This window comes from Homo sapiens, chromosome 19 (assembly GCF_000001405.40).
Source record: "Homo sapiens chromosome 19, GRCh38.p14 Primary Assembly".
NCBI lineage: Eukaryota > Metazoa > Chordata > Mammalia > Primates > Hominidae > Homo > Homo sapiens.
This window is the reverse complement of record NC_000019.10, coordinates 1,592,899-1,608,093: the sequence shown is the minus strand read 5'-3', so window position 1 is coordinate 1,608,093 and position 15,195 is coordinate 1,592,899. Positions and strand designations below refer to the sequence as shown.

General features: G+C 55.3%; 1 protein-coding gene across 1 annotated transcript, besides 6 other annotated features; it reads left to right on the top strand.

Annotated features, from left to right (window-relative positions):
- Positions 1,055 to 1,676: an enhancer, noted in NCBI's record as "H3K27ac-H3K4me1 hESC enhancer chr19:1606417-1607038 (GRCh37/hg19 assembly coordinates)". NCBI's record gives its function as "activates a minimal SCP1, AML or CMV promoter by ChIP-STARR-seq in primed H9 embryonic stem cells {active_cell/tissue: H9 hESC(primed)}" and the evidence as "EXISTENCE:reporter gene assay evidence [ECO:0000049][PMID:30033119]".
- Positions 2,132 to 2,441: an enhancer, noted in NCBI's record as "active region_13616". NCBI's record gives its function as "activates an Ori minimal core promoter by ATAC-STARR-seq in GM12878 lymphoblastoid cells {active_cell/tissue: GM12878}" and the evidence as "EXISTENCE:reporter gene assay evidence [ECO:0000049][PMID:35858748]".
- Positions 2,502 to 2,761: a silencer, noted in NCBI's record as "silent region_9735". NCBI's record gives its function as "represses an Ori minimal core promoter by ATAC-STARR-seq in GM12878 lymphoblastoid cells {active_cell/tissue: GM12878}" and the evidence as "EXISTENCE:reporter gene assay evidence [ECO:0000049][PMID:35858748]".
- On the top strand, positions 2,632 to 10,925 carry UQCR11 (ubiquinol-cytochrome c reductase, complex III subunit XI). The gene is made up of 3 exons (NM_006830.4): positions 2,632 to 2,734; positions 8,534 to 8,682; positions 9,879 to 10,925. The coding sequence occupies exons 1-2, from the start codon at positions 2,685 to 2,687 to the stop codon at positions 8,652 to 8,654; spliced, it is 171 nt and encodes a 56-aa protein (NP_006821.1). The 5' UTR covers positions 2,632 to 2,684; the 3' UTR covers positions 8,655 to 8,682; positions 9,879 to 10,925.
- Positions 2,812 to 2,881: a silencer, noted in NCBI's record as "silent region_9734". NCBI's record gives its function as "represses an Ori minimal core promoter by ATAC-STARR-seq in GM12878 lymphoblastoid cells {active_cell/tissue: GM12878}" and the evidence as "EXISTENCE:reporter gene assay evidence [ECO:0000049][PMID:35858748]".
- Positions 14,789 to 14,838: an enhancer, noted in NCBI's record as "active region_13615". NCBI's record gives its function as "activates an Ori minimal core promoter by ATAC-STARR-seq in GM12878 lymphoblastoid cells {active_cell/tissue: GM12878}" and the evidence as "EXISTENCE:reporter gene assay evidence [ECO:0000049][PMID:35858748]".
- Positions 15,089 to 15,158: a silencer, noted in NCBI's record as "silent region_9733". NCBI's record gives its function as "represses an Ori minimal core promoter by ATAC-STARR-seq in GM12878 lymphoblastoid cells {active_cell/tissue: GM12878}" and the evidence as "EXISTENCE:reporter gene assay evidence [ECO:0000049][PMID:35858748]".

Sequence of the window (15,195 nt, the reverse complement as noted above, 5' to 3'; positions counted from 1 at the left end):
CAGGAGGCAGGGATTGCAGTGAGCTGAGATTGCACCACTGCACTCTAGCCTGGGCGACAGAGCGAGACTGTCTCAAAAAATCAAAATTAAATTGGTTGTACCTGGTGACACACACTTGTAGTCCCAGCTACTTAGGAGGTTCAGGTGGGAGGATCGCTTGAGGTGGCAGTGAACTGTGATTGCACCACTGCACTCCAGCCTGGGCAACAGAGCCAGAACCTGTCAAAAAAAAAGGGTGGGCCAGGTGCAGTGGCTCATGCCTGTAATCCCAGCACTTTGGGAGGCCAAGGCGGGCGGATCACGAGGTCAGGAGATCGAGACCATCCTGGCTAACGGTGAAACCCCATCTCTACTAAAAATACAAAAAATTAGCCAGGCGTGGTGGCGGGCACCTGTAGTCCCAGCTACTCGGTAGGCTGAGGCAGGAGAATGGCGTGAACCTGGGAGGCGGAGCTTGCAGTGAGCCAAGATCATACCACTACACTCCAGCCTGCAGCCTGGGCGACAGCAAGACTCCGTTTCAAAAAAAAAGGGTGGAGGGGACATCCAGATGGTCCAACAAAATAACAAAAACCGGCTCAAGAAACAAAAAGGAAGTTCTATGTCATGTTGAATGGCTTCAGGCACAGCTGGATCCAGGTGTCATTACAAATCTCTCTCCATCTCTCAGCTCTTGTTTATGTCACTGTCTCTGATGAACTCTTTTTTTTGTCTGTTTGTTTTGAGACGGAGTTTCACTCTTGTTGCCCAGGCTGCAGTGCAATGGCGTGATCTCGGCTCACCGCAACCTCTGCCTCCCGGGTTTTCAAGCAATTTTCCTGCCTCAGCCTCCCGAGTAGCTGGAATTACAGGCATCCGTCACCATGTCCGGTTAATTTTGTATTTTTAGTAGAGATGGGGTTTCTCCATGTTGGTCACGCTGGTCTCGAACTCCCAGTCTCAGGTGATCTGCCCGCCTCAACCTCCCAAAGTGCTGGGATTATAGGCGTGAGCCACCGTGCCCGGCCACTGGTGAACTCTTACATTGTGGCATCTGGAAACTCTGGGCTGACATTCCAGCAGCCCTTGTGTTCCTGTCCTTTCTCTTAATAGTCTCTGTGTCAGCCCCTGCATCCCACTTTTTTAAGTTTCCACCAATGGGAAGAGTCTTATTCAGGTGCTCTCTGATCCCAAGCTCAAAAACCCCAAGCCAACTGGAAAGTTCTACAAACAATGCCCAGGGCCGGGCCCGGTGGCTTACACCTGTAATCCCAGCATTTTGGGAGGCGGATCACTTGAGGTCAGGAATTCAAGACAAGCCTGGCCAACATGGCCAAACCCCATCTCTACTAAAAATACAAAAACTAGCCAGGTGTGGTGGCTCACGCCTGTAGTCCCAGCTACTTGGGAGGCTGAGGCAGGAGAAGCTTGAACCCGGGAAGCGGAGGTTGCAGTGAGCCGAGATCGTGTCATTGCACTCCAGCCTGGGCCACAGAGCGAGACTCCGTCTCAAAAAAAAAAAGAAAGAAAAACAGTGCCCAGACTGTGGTGTCCAAAACCTATTTCCGGCTCCCACCCTGAGTCCTTAACCAGGGATAGGGATGGGTTAGCACCCGCAGTCCCCAGAGAGCTGCAGGCTTGGGGTGTACTGAGGGGCTGACCCCAGGAGGACAGGCCAGGCTGGGCAGAAGAACCCACGGTGTCCATTCCTTATCACGAGGCCTGCAAGTGACGCTGGCGCCCGAGAGACAAATCACGCCCAGTGCCCCGTCTAGGCTATGGCCTTTCCGTTCATGCTGTAAAGGTGCCTGTGGGTCAGGCAGTCCAGGAGGGCTTCCTGAGGGAGGCAACTCTTGAATATGGGGGAAAAGGCACAAAAGTGCAATGGCGGTGTCTGGGAATATGCCCCTCTTCCTTCTGCCCACACCGGCCCGGTGTGCAGGGGGGAGGCTGGAAGCTGGGAGCTGAGTGAGCATGTACGGTGCTGCGCCGGGTTGTGGGAGAGCAGAGGAAGCAGGGACTGGAGAAAGGCGAGCCCAAGCGAGCCTGGTGCGGTGGAAAGCAGGAGGCAGAAAGACCTGCCTGTCATCAGCTAAGAGCATCCAGAGACGTTCACCGAGCAAGGAGCCAGGCCACCCTCTGCTGCCGGAATGAGGAATAACCCAGGCTCGCAAACGGAATCCTGCAAAGAGATTTCCGACAGGGCCTCCAAGCAACGGGCAACGCTGAGGCTCAGGGAAGCACTGCCGCTCGACCAAAGTCCTACAGCGAATCAGGAACAACGCCTGACGCCTCCAAAAGTGGGCTCCAATCCCAGCTCTTCCCCTCTGTGTGACTCTGAGCAAGACCCTTCCCCGCTGGACCTCAGTTTCCTTCATTGTAAATAACGTTCTGGCACATACTAGGCGCACAAAATCACTGGCAGGTAGCCCCGCGGAGCCCAGAAGCACAATCGGCCGCCAGACCACGTGGCCAGAAAGCACCGCCCTAACGCCGCCCACTCCGGACCACTTCTCCGCGGTCGTCCAACCCTCGCCGGAAGTTACTGTAAGTGGCTTCCGGGTCTGCGCGCACAGTGGCGGATGATGTTTTTTTTTCCTCCCCCCCCCCCCGCCCTCCCCGCGCGCGTGCGCGCCGCGGCCGCGCCTGCGCAGTGTAGCCGGGTCAGCTGGACAGGGTCATCCTGAGGGTGCGACTCCGCCGCGATGGTGACCCGGTTCCTGGGCCCACGCTACCGGGAGCTGGTCAAGAACTGGTGAGGACGCCGACCCGCGGCCCCATCCGCGCTCCCGCCTCGGCCCAGCCCCGCGCCGCTGCGTTCCGTATTTGTGCGCGTTTCCGGGGGCCGGGCCGGGCCGGGCCCAGGTCCCTTGTTGTTCCCGGTGACAGAGGGGGAAACTGAGGCCGAGAGGCGGAGCGGCGCGTCCCGGCGTGAACGGGACGTGACGGACCCAAGGCCAAACCCCAGCATGCCCGGCTCCGCGGCTAGGCCGCTCCAAGCCTCAGTTTCCCCATCTCTACCGGGGGATCCGAATGGTGACCCCCTGGACGGAAGCGCCCAGAAGGTGCCGAGTCCCGATCCCCAGCCCAGCACTCGCGGCATCTTCGGCCTTTGCCACTATTTTGGTTTTTATGATTTTTAACAAGGAGCGTGAAAGCTTCAGCTGCGCCTGAGCCCACGTGGGCAGCGGGACGGCATAGGGGTGGCCCCCATAGAAGCCGGGCTGGGGGTGGCCTCCGTAGGGTTGTCTGGTGTTTCCACGTGGGGTGCTAAGAAGCAAGGCCTGGCTGGGTGCGGTGGCTCCCGCCTGTGATCCCAGCGCTTTGTGAGGCCGAGGCAGGTGGATCACCTGAGGTCAGGAGTTCGAGACCAGCCTGGCCAACGTGGTGAAACCCGCGTCTCTACTAAAAATGCAAAAATTAGCCAGGCGTGGTGGCGGGTGCCTCTAATCCCAGCTACTCGGGAGGCTGAGGAAGGAGAATCGCTTGAACCCGGGAGGAGGAGGTTGCAGTGAGCTGAGATTGCGCCATTGCACTCCAGCCTGGGTGACAGAATGAGACTGTGTCCCAAAAAGAGAAAAGAAAAAAAAAGCAGCAAGGTCTTAGCCGGGTGCAGTGGCTCCGGCCTGTGATCCCAGTGCTTTGGGAGGCCCAGGCAGGAGAATCACTTGAGCCTGGGAGTTCAAGACCATCCTGGACAACACAATGAAACCCCATCTCTACAAAACAAAAAATTATCAGGGCATGGTGGCACCTGTCTGTAGTCCCAGCTACTGGGGAGGCTAAGGTGGGAGGATCGTTTGAGCCTGGGAATTTGAGACCAGCCTGGGCAACACAGCAAGACCTTATCTCTACAAAAAAATTTAGAGCTGCTGGGCGCAGTGACTCACGCCTGTAATCCCAACACTTTGGGAGGCCAAGGCGGGCGAATCACCCGAGGTCAGGAGTTTGAGACCAACCTGACCAACATGGAGAAACCCCGTCTCTACTGAAAATACAAAATTAGCCAAGTATGGTGGCGCGTGCCTGTAATCCCAGCTACTTGGGAGGCTGAGGCAGGAGAATCGCTCAAACCCGGGAGGTGGAGGTTGTGGTGAGCTGAGATTGTGCCATTGCATTCCAGCCTGGGCAACAAGAGCGAAACTCCGTTTCTAAAAAAGAAAAAAGCAAAGGCTTATGATTGGCAGTGTCTCCGGAAGCCAGAACATACTTCCTCTATCCCAGACTGGGGGACAGGTCGGGGACAGGGTCTGCACGGTGGAGCTGACTGGGACCTTCAAGTGGAATGTGATGGTGCCGGTGGCGTTTTACAGCGTGGGTAACTCAGGCCTGGGATGAGGAAGCCTGCTCCTAGCTGAGAACCCAGTGGCCCATGGTAGCCAGTGCAGCCCCTCCCGGGTGCAGCAGGTCTGCTTCTTCTGTGTTCAGTCACAGCGGGGACCACCCGTCATCCGTGCTTTCATCCAACAGCAAGCATTTATTTATTTATTTATTCATTTATTTATTTAGAGACGGAGTCTTGCTCTGTCGCCCCGGCTGGAGTGCAGTGGCGCAATCTCGGCTCACTGCAAGCTCCGCCTCCCGGGTTCACGCCATTCTCCTGCCTCAGCCTCCCATAAGTAGCTGGGACTACAGGCGCCCGCCACCACGCCCGGCTAATTTTTTTTGTATTTTTTAGTGGAGATGGGGTTTCACCGTGTTAGCCAGGATGGTCACGATCTTCTGACCTCGTGATCCACCTGCCTCGGCCTCCCAAAGTTCTGGGATTACAGGCATGAGCCACTGCGCCCAGCCCAACATTTATTGAGCACCTACTATGTGTTAGGGACGCGCCAATAGACCGAACCCTTGTGGGCGGACATTCTGGTTGGTGGGCAAGGAAAGGTAAAGAAACGAGACCTGTGGTGTGGGGCTGACCTAAAATAACGAAGCGGGAGAGGAAGGGGTGCAGACACGTGCGTGCGAGGGGCCGTGCAGGGCTGTGCCACCAGGCAGTGGCTTTGGGAGGCTAGGGAGCGGGTCTCATCCCCAGGAGGCACTGTGGGGTTGTGTCTCAGAGTCTCAGACTTAGGACTGAGAGGGCCACAGTTCACCAGCTGGGGACCCTGCAGTCCACACCCCTTCTAGGCCCTGCTGGGGCTTGCTTTGAGGAAGGGGTTGTCGTGGCGACGAGGTCGTTGGTCAGTGTGGTCATGGTCTGTACGTCCTTCCTCAGTGGCTAGTGGAAATCAGGTTTTGTGGGCTCTTCCCACACTGTCCAAATCCACAGGGTCCTACATGGGGTGACCAGGATGATAGGGGAGGCGGAGGCCGGCCCACTGGGCATATTTATGAGCAGGCTTCTCTGGTGATTAATAACCCAGGGCTGGGCGCAGTGGCTCACGCGTGTAATCCCAGAACCTTGAGAGGCTGAGGTGGGTGGATCCCTTGAGGTCAGGAGTTCGAGAAGAGCCTGGCCAACAAGGTGAAACCCTGTCTCTACTAAAAATACAAAAATTAGTCGGGCGCGGTAGTGGACACCTGTAATCCCAGCTTCATGGGAGGCTGAGACAAGAGAATCACTTGAACCTGGGAGGCGGGGGTTGCCGTGAGCTGAGATTGCGTCATTGCACTCCAGCCTGGGTGACAGAGCGAGATTCTATCTCAAAATAAATAATAAATAAATAAATAAATAAATAACTTATCCAGAATGCCATCAAGACAACACGTGCGAAGATTCCTGCCCTGTTGGTGGCATCTGCCTCCGAGCCAGGTTCCAGGAGCAGCTGTGCGTGCCCCCAGCTGGTGAGCGGGCACCTGGCCTACACTTGGAGAGTCTCTGGTGAGGCCCCTTGGGGCAATGTGGGCAGGGTTTCTTCATCCGCCTCCAGGAGGAGCACCCCCTACCGCCCCAACATCCCAGCTGTGTGATTTGCTGTGATCCAGGGAGGTGAATCGGATTTTTTTTTTTCTTCCGAGACAGAGTCTCACTGTCGCCCAAGCTAGAGTGCAGTGGCACGATCTCGGCTCACTGCAACCTCGACCTACAGAGTTCAAGTGATTCTCCTGCCTCAGCCTCCCCAGTAGCTGGGACTACAGGTGCGCACCACCACACCGGGCTAGTTTTTATATTTTTAGTAGAGATGAGGTTTCACCATGTTGGCCAGGCTGGTCTAGAATTCCTGACCTCAGGTGATCCACCCGCCTCGGCCTCCGGAAGTGCTGGGATTACAGGTGTGAACCGCCGCACCCCGCCCGGAATTGGATTTTAATTTCAGCCCTCTGTTGGCCAGCAGTGGGACCTGCAATTGTTATCTAGTGCTGTGTGCATAAGAAATGGTCTCCCAAAATTAGCCGCTTAAACTAGCAAATGCTGCTTATCTCACAGTTTCAGTGGGTGCACTGAGTCAACTCCTCAGGCTCTCTTGTGAGGCTGCAGTCTCATCCGAGGGTGTGACCAGGCAGATCCGTTTCCACGATCACTCACGGGGTTGTTGGCTGGATTCATTTATTTCTTCCTTTTTTTTTTTTTTTTTGAGACGGTGTCTCGCTCTGTCACCAGGCTGGAGTACAATGGCATGATCTAAGCTCACTGCAAGCTCCGCCTCCCGGGTTCATGCCATTCTCCTGCCTCAGCCTCCCAAGTAGCTGGGACTACAGGCGCCCGCCACCTTGCCTGGCTAATTTTTTATATTTTTAGTAGAATGGGGTTTTACCATGTTAGCCAGGATGGTCCCTATCTCCTGACCTCATGATCCGCCCACCTCACCCTCCCAAAGTGCTGGGATTACAGGCGTGAGCCACCATGCCCGGCCCTCATTTCCTTCTTAGCTGGAGGCTGCCGTCAGTTCTCTGCCACATGGGTCCCTTCATAGGGCATCTCACAGCATGGCAGCTGGCTTCTCCAGAGGCAGCTAGAGGTTGCACAAAGGTGCCCAGGATGGAAGCCAGTCTTTTTCTTTTTTTTGAGACGGAGTCTCACTTTGTCACCCAGGCTAGAGAGCAATGGTGCAATCTTGGCTCACTGCAACCTCCACCTCCTGGGTTCAAGCCATTCTCCCGCCTCAGCCTCCCAAGTAGCTGGGATTACAGGCACCCACCACCATGCCCGGCTAATTTTTGTATTTTTAGTAGAGATGGGGTTTCACCATGTTTCCCAGGCTGGTCTTGAACTCCTGACCTCAGGTGATCTGCCCGCCTCAGCCTCTCAAAGTGCTGGGATTACAGGCGTGAGCCACCACGCCCAGCCTCTTTTTCTTTTTTAATTTTTTTTGAGATATGGTCTCATATTTACCGAGGCTGGAAGGCAGTTGGTGTAGCCACAGCCTCTGCTTCCTGGGCTCAAGAGATCCTCCTGCCCCAGCTTTCCTAGTAGCTGAGACTACTGGCATGTGCCACCACACCCGGCTAATTTTTCTTAATTTTGTGTAGAGATGGGGTCTCACTCTGTTGTCTAGGCTGGTCTCAAACTCCTAGGCTCAAGTGAGCCTCCTGCCTCAACCTCCCAAAGTGCTGGGATTCCCCTTGTGAGCCTCCATGTCTGAAGCCAGTCTTTTGTCACTTGACCTCGGCAGTGATGCCCCATTGCTCATGCTGCGTTCTACTCATTAGAAGCCTGTGCCCGGCCGGGCGCGGTGGCTCACGCCTGTAATCCCAGCACTTTGGGAGGCCGAGGCGGGCGGATCACGAGGTCAGGAGATTGAGACCATCCTGGCTAACACGGTGAAACCCCATCTCTACTAAAAATGCAAAAAATTAGCCAGGCGCAGTGACGGGCGCCTGTAGTCCCAGCTACTCGGGAGGCTGAGGCAGGAGAATTGCTTGAACCCGGGAGGTGGAGATTGCAGTGAGCCGAGATCACGCCACTGCACTCCAGCTTGGTGACAGAGCAAGACTCCGTCTCAAAAAAAAAAAAAAAAAAAAAAAGAAGCCTGTGCCCAAGTTCATACTGTGCGAGGGCGTAAACGCCAGCAGGCGGGTTTGCTGGGCCTTCCTAGAATCTGCTGGGCCTTCCTAGAATCTGCTGGGCCTTCCTAGAATCTGCTGGGCCCAGGCAACTCAGGGGAGCTCTCACAGCACGTGCCGTGGTGGGCAAGAGCATGAGCTTGGAACCGGAGGCCTCGATCCTCGCCAGCTGTGTGGCCTCAGGTGAGGGCCTCGCCCTGTCTGTTGTTTGGTGTCCTCGCCTGGGAACAGGGACTGTGATGGCGGCACCTGCCTGAGTCCTGCAGCTGTGGCAGGGATGGATGAATTTCTGCAGACTGCAGCAGACCGGACCCATCATCATGGTGGTTGCAAACTTACAAACACCTACACATGCGCCAGGCCCAGCCTCCCCCCAGCTCCACTCCCACCCCAGCAGCCCCTTGAGCAGTTACTGGCTTCCTGAGAGCCGGCAGCATGGGCAGGGCCTGTGCTGCTGGTGCCAGCCCTCAGGGCTCACAGCACTGGGCGGGCACAGGTGCCAGGCCCGCACCTCAGCCATCACCGCTCAGGACGGGGGGCCGGGGTGGGCAGGAGAGGGTCTTGGAGAAAGGGTCCAGAGCAGGCCTGACCATCCCCTCTCCTCTCGCAGGGTCCCGACGGCCTACACATGGGGCGCTGTGGGCGCCGTGGGGCTGGTGTGGGCCACCGATTGGCGGCTGATCCTGGACTGGGTACCTTACATCAATGGCAAGTTTAAGAAGGATAATTAATTACACAAACCCTTCACAGACTGCTCTGGTAAGTTTCAGTGGGCTGCGGTGGGTGGACTGCATGATGGCCGGATGGTGGCCGAAGAGTGGGTTCTCCAGGCTCCCAGAGCCGGGGCGGCAGCCCTCACTGCTCCCCCTGGAGAGACCTGCATTCGAGAGTGGGGCCCTGGGTGCCCCTTCTGGCATCTCCGGCCCACGGGCACAGAACTGTCCGCCCCGCAGCCTTGGGTTGTGTGATTGGGGTGTGGGCCTCGCCCTCCCTCTGGACAATCCCAGTGAGTCTTTGAGGCAAACCTTGCTTCCGTCTCAGTGGGCACTGCAGCCTGAACTGGGTGGGGCCCATGTTACAGACAGAGGGGGAAGGTGGAGGCTGGCCCACAGTGGCTGGACACCCCATGAGCTCTTGGAAGCGCCTGTGAGGCCCTGGACGCATCCACGTGTTTCTCCAGCATGCCAGCTGCCCCCTTAACCACAGTGCCTGTGGCATCTTCCCAGTGCCCACATGACAGTCCCACGTGGCCGTGCTCTTACACCCCCATTTTCCAGGTGCTGGCCTGAGGCCTGAGGCCATGCCACTGTTTGAACCTGGGCCTCAGAGCCCTGCTCCGGTCTGTGTTTCTCCCTACTGCGTGGAGCCCGGGGCCTGTGCTGCATTGGTGTTCCTGCCAGGCTGCTGTCCTGGGCCACTTCCGCAGCCAGCTTCATATGGAAGGGACGTTTCTTTTTTTTTGAGACGGAGTCTCGCTCTGTTGCCAGACTGGAATACGGTGGCGCGATCTCAGCTCACTGCACCCTCTGCCTTCCAGGTTCAAGCGATTCTTGTGCCTCAGCCTCCCAAGTAGCTGGGACTACAGGTGCCCACCACTACACGCAGCTAATTTTTTTTTTTTTTTTTGAGACAGAGTTTGGCTCTTGTTGCCCAGGCTGGAGCGCAATGACGCGATCTTGGCGCACTGCAACCTCCACCTCCCGGGTTCAAGCGATTCTCCTGCCTCAGCCTCCCAAGGAGCTGGGATTACAGGCATCTGCCACCACACCAGGCTAATTCTGTATTTTTAGCAGAGATGGGGTTTCTCCATGTTAATCAAGCTGGTCTCAAACTCCTGACCTCAGGTGATGCGCCCGCCTCGGCCTCCCAAAGTGCTGGGATTAGAGGCGTGAGCCACTGCACCCAGCCTGGAAGGGACACTTCTACTCACCCTGCCTCGTCTGCTCTCCCTCCAGGTGCCTGGTGGTGCTAGCTCCTCCCACCTCAGCACCTGCTGCATCTGGAGCAGCCCAAGCCTCAGGATGGACAAGAGGAAACCCACAGCTCAGCTTCAGGCTTCTTATGTTTCTGAAAACAGCTTGGATATTTTAATGCACGTTGCATTAAACCTCACTGAAACCTGCTCCGTGCCCGGATGTTGATCATGCTGGTGGCTTGGTTACTGTGACTGTAGCTGGAGTGGCACAGGTGACCCAGGCGTCCTTTCAGCTCCAGAATGTTGCAAGTCTAGGAGAGTGTTCCAATGGCTGACAGAAACTGCCTATTTGAAATGGCTCATAAGTAGTATCTGCAGTGTGTTCATCCGTTGCTGCCTTAACAAGTCACCCACACGTAGTGGCTTAAAGCAACGAACATTCACTCTCTCACAGTCTGTGTCAGTCGGGGATTTGGGAGTGATGTATCTGGGTGGTTGTGGCCCAGAGTCTCTCATGAGGTTGCAGTTAAGACATCAGCCAAGGCCACTTCGTCTGAGGAAGGCTCAACTGGGGCTGGAGCCACTTCCAAGCCAGTGCCCTCACGTGGCTGTCGGTGACAGCCACAGTTCCTTCCCATGGGGGCCCCTACACGAAGCTGCTTGAGCATCCTCACGGCATGGCCTCTGCCTTCCCCAGAGCAGGTGAACCAAGGGAGAGGAAGGAGCAAGCCACAGTGCTTCTATGAGCCACCCTGAGAAGTCTCACGTGATCACTTCCGCCACAGCCTGTTTATCAAAAGCAAGCCCCCCAGGCCCAGCCCACGTGCAGAGGGAGGAGAATGAGGTTCTGTGTTTTGAAGGGAAGAATATCAGAATTGGTAGACATTTCAAACTGTCACATTAGGGATACAAAAATGAACAGGCTGGGAGTGGTGGCTCAGCCTACAATCCCAACACTTTGGGAGGCTGAGGAAGGGGCATCACTTGAACCAGGAGTTCAGTACTAACCTGGGCAACAAAGAGGCCCCTGTCTCTGATAAAAAGAAAAAAAATGAAAAAATAAAAATGAACAGGTATAAAAAGAGAATATGGTACAAAGTCACACTCCCTGATACAGCTGCCCAGTTTTTTCCAGCTCTTGCCAATCTCTGAGCCGACATTGCACCACTGCACTCTAGCTTGGGCAACAGAGTGAGACTCAAAAAAAAAAAAAAATCCTAGACATACTGTCTGCATACATAAGTGTGTTGATGGAAATAGCTATTATATCAGTCTGCTAGGGCTGCCATAACAAAATACCACAGATTTTGCATGGCTCAACCAACAGAAATTTATTTTACTTATTCTTTTTTAAAAGACAGTCTTGCTCTATCGCCCAGGCTGGAGTGCCGTGGCACGCTCTTGGCTCACTGCAACCTCCGCCTCCTGGGTTCAAGCGATTCTCCTGCCTCAGCCTCCCAAAGTGCTGGGATTAACAGCTGTGAGCCACTGCACCAAGCCTATTTATTTATTTATTTTTGGAGATGGAATCTTACTGTGTCACCCAGGTTGGAGTGCAGTGGCATGATCTTGGCTCACTGCAACCTCTGCCTTCAGGGTTCAAGCGATTCTTCTGCCTCAGCCTCCCGAGTAGCTGGGATTACAGGTGCCTGCCACCACGCCCTGCTAATTTTTGTATTTTTAGTAGAGATGGGGTTTTGCCATGTTGGCCAGGCTAGTCTTGAAATGACCTCAGGTGATCTGCCCACCTCAGCCTCCCAAAGTGCTGGGATTACAGGCGGGAGCCACTGTGCCCGGCCAGATTTTGTTCTGATTTTTAAAAAAACATTGGCCAGGGGTCTGTGCGTGGTGGCTCACGCACCACTGCACTCCAGTCTGGGTGACAGAGCCAGACTCTGTCTCAAAAAATATATAAAAATTTAAAAAAAAAAATTGTCTGCAGGCTAAGTGTAGTGGCCCACACCTGTAATCCCAGTACTTTGGGAGGCCACAGTGAGAGGATTGCTGGAGCCCAGAAGTTTGAGGCTGTGGTGAGCCGTGATTGTGCCACTGCACTCCAGACTGGGTGGCAGAGTGAGACCCTGTCTCAAAAAAGAAATTGTGTGACTTGAGCCCTGAATCTGTAGGTTACCAGACCCCAGTAGCAGTGAGCTTCCCCTGCCTATTTCTGTATCTGCTGTCCTGGTACTTAAGTCCCGAAAGGGAAGGCAGAGACTTCAGCATGGTGGCACTGAGGCCCTCGCCAGCCCAGGAGGTGACAGGAGCCAGACTGGCGGATGGGGTCCTGTGTTTGTTGCCACAGTGAGTCACTGGACTCCACTGTAAAGAGGAGCAGTCTCGTGGTCCCATCAGCCATTTATTCAGTCATTTATTTCTACCAGCATCCACTCGAGGACATTTTTTCTTTTTCCTTTTTTTTTTTTTTGAGACAGAGTCTCGATCTGTCGCCCAGGCTGGAGTGCAGTGGCGCGATCTCAGCTCACTGCAACCTCTGCCTCCCAGGTTCAAGCGATTCTCCTGCCTCAGCCTCCCGAGTAGCTGGGACTACAGGCGCCCGCCACCAAGCCCAGCTAATTTTTTGTATTTTTTAGTAGACACGGGGTTTCACCGTGTTAGCCAGGATGGTCTCTATCTCCTGACCTCATGATCCACCCGCCTTGGCCTCCCAAAGTGCTGGGATTACAGGCATGAGCCACCACACCCGGCCTTGATGACATTTTTTCTACAGACTATAAATCCTTTATAAACTTTAATTTTGTTGCTCAAGTTGTCCTCTCTGTTTGGCCATCGTGACCCCTTCCAAATGGGCTCCTGTGTGCACATGATATGTCCCGGGTCACTTTTTTTGTTATTGAGGTGAAATTCACATAACATAAAATTAACCATTTTCAGGTGTGCAATGCAGTGCTTTAATACATTCACACTGGTATGCAGCCACTGCGCCCAGCCTGGAATTGGCCATTTTAAAGACTATTTTATTGACTTACTTATTTTAGACAAGGTCTCGCTCTACCACCCAGGCTGGAGTGCATTGTCACAATCATAGCCCAATTTTAAAAATAATCTTGGCCGGGCGCGGTGGCTCACGCCTATAATCCCAGGACTCTGGGAGGCCAAGGCAGGCGGATCACCTGAGGTCGGGAGTTTGAGACCAGCCTGACCAACATGGAGAAACCCCGTCTCCACTAAAAATACAAAATTAGCCGGGCATGGTGGCGGGTGCCACCATAATAATCATCTCCCTTGCATGGGGGCAGGCCTTGCACTGGCTGCCCTAGTCAAGTAATCCCAGCTACTTGGAAGGCTGAGGCAGGAGAATCGCTTGAACTCGGGAGGCGGAGGCTGCAGTGAGCCGAGATCGCGCCGCTGCACTCCAGCCTGAGCAACAAGAGCGAAACTCCGTCTCAAAAAAAACACAAATAATTAAATTAAAAAAATAATAATAATCTCCCAGCCGGGCGTGGTGGCTGGCGCCTGTGATCCCAGCACTTTGGGAGGCTGAGGCAGGCACATTGCTTGAGCTCAGGAGGTTACAGTGAGCCAAGATCACGCCACTGCACTCCAGCCTAGGCAACAAAGTGAAACCCTGTCTCAAAACATAATTATCATCTCCCTTGCATGGGGGCAGGCCTTGCTCTGGCTGCCCTAGTCAGGTACCACGGCTGGTTCTGGGGTGTAACTGCCTGGCTTTGAGTCCACAGCATAGACTTTCCTGTCTCCTTGGGAGCACTGATTCTTCCATGGCAGCCCAATGCCATGGGGCCTCGGTCTCAGGCCAGTAACCAGCTCCTGAGCTTCTCGGGAGACAGAGCTGGCTGTCTCACACCTCACCTCACCTCACGACGAGGTGGGGTGAGCGGGGCATCCGACCATCATCCACCCATCCATCCTGATTTATTCAGTGCTTCTGTGGTCAGCACAACATCCCGAAAATGTGCCCGTTCCGTCGGCCGCTGTGGCTCACACCTGGAACCCCAGCACTTAGGGAGGCCGAGGTGGGCGGATCACTTGAGGTCAGGAGTTCGAAACCAGCTGGCCAACAAGGTCAAATCCCATCTCTTCTAAAAATTCAAAAAAATTAGCCGGGCATGGTGGTGGGCGCCTGTAGTCCCAGCTACTTGGGAGGCTGAGGCAGGAGAATTACTTGAACCCGGGAGGTGGAGGTTGCAGTGAGCCGAGATCACGCCATTGCACTCGAGCCTGGGCAACAGAGCAAGACTCTGTCTCCATCAGTCAGTCAATCAATCAATAAATGAATGTGCCTGTCCTACTCCCTGGAACCTGCAGCTAAAGGGACTTTGAAAATGGGACGAGATCTTCAGATGGGAAAGCATCCCAGATCGGGTGGACCCAATGTCAACAAAAGAGTCCTTAGAACCAGGACAGTTTCTCCAGCTGGAGGCAGGGGAGCACAGCAGCTAGACTCAGTCCTTGAACACCTGTGCAGGCCCGCCCAGCCCTAGCCTTGGGAGCGACGCTGTCAGGGGGAACTGATGGGGGGCAGCCCACCCGTTTCCATTTCAGGATCCCTCTGGCTGGCTGGGGAAGGGGTTAAGGGGAGACAACAGGGGGTGGGCGATTCCGCAGGAAGGTCCTGGAACTCTCCCGGCCAGAGATGGTGGCTGGACTAAGGTGCAGGGGGTGGTCGGGGAGCTGGGGGGGGGTGCTCAGATTCCTGGATTTTGAGGGTTCAAAAAGCAGCTGGACGGGGCGCAGTGGCTCACGCCTGTAATCCCAGCGCTTTGGGAGGCCGAAGTGGGCTGATCACCTGAAGTAAGGAGTTCGAGTCCAGCCTGGCCAACATGGTGAAATCCCGTCTCTACTAAAACTACAAAAATTAGCCGTCCGTGGAACCAGCTACTTGGGAGGCTGAGGCATAACAACTTGAACCCGGGAGGCGGAGGCTACAGTGAGCCAAGATCGCGCCTCTGCACTCCAGCCTGGGTGACAGAGACCCCGTCTCAAAAAAAAAAAAGCTACTGGAGGGAACTTGGGGGCGTGGAAGGGGTGGTCACGGGGGAAGTCCCCCAGATTTGGACGCTCGTAAAAAGCTCGGAAGCTGGGAGACCAGGAGGGCGGGGAAGTCGAGGTCCAGTCACTGGGCCAGAGTCCCCAAGACTTGGGCTGGAGAAAGGTCGGAGGAAAGGACCCCACTAGTCCGAAAGCATGTCCCCGCGCACGCGCACCAGGCGGCCGGCAGAGACAGGGCACAGTAAAAGGAGCCGCGCGGACTCCGGGCACAGCTGCTGGGCACTGGCAGCTCGCAAGGCACAGCGCGCAGGCGCGCACGCCACTTAAGGCCCCGCCCCCTCCCAGCGCGCTGATTGGCGGGGCCGTAGAGGGGCGGGGGCATGGCG

Bases quoted from the DNA above. Each gene is read 5' to 3' on its own strand.
- UQCR11 (NM_006830.4), top strand. From the start codon at position 2,685: ATGGTGACCCGGTTCCTGGGCCCACGCTACCGGGAGCTGGTCAAGAAC. The intron at 2,735-8,533 runs GTGAGGACGCCG...CTCCTCTCGCAG, and splicing joins CGGGAGCTGGTCAAGAACTG to GGTCCCGACGGCCTACACAT.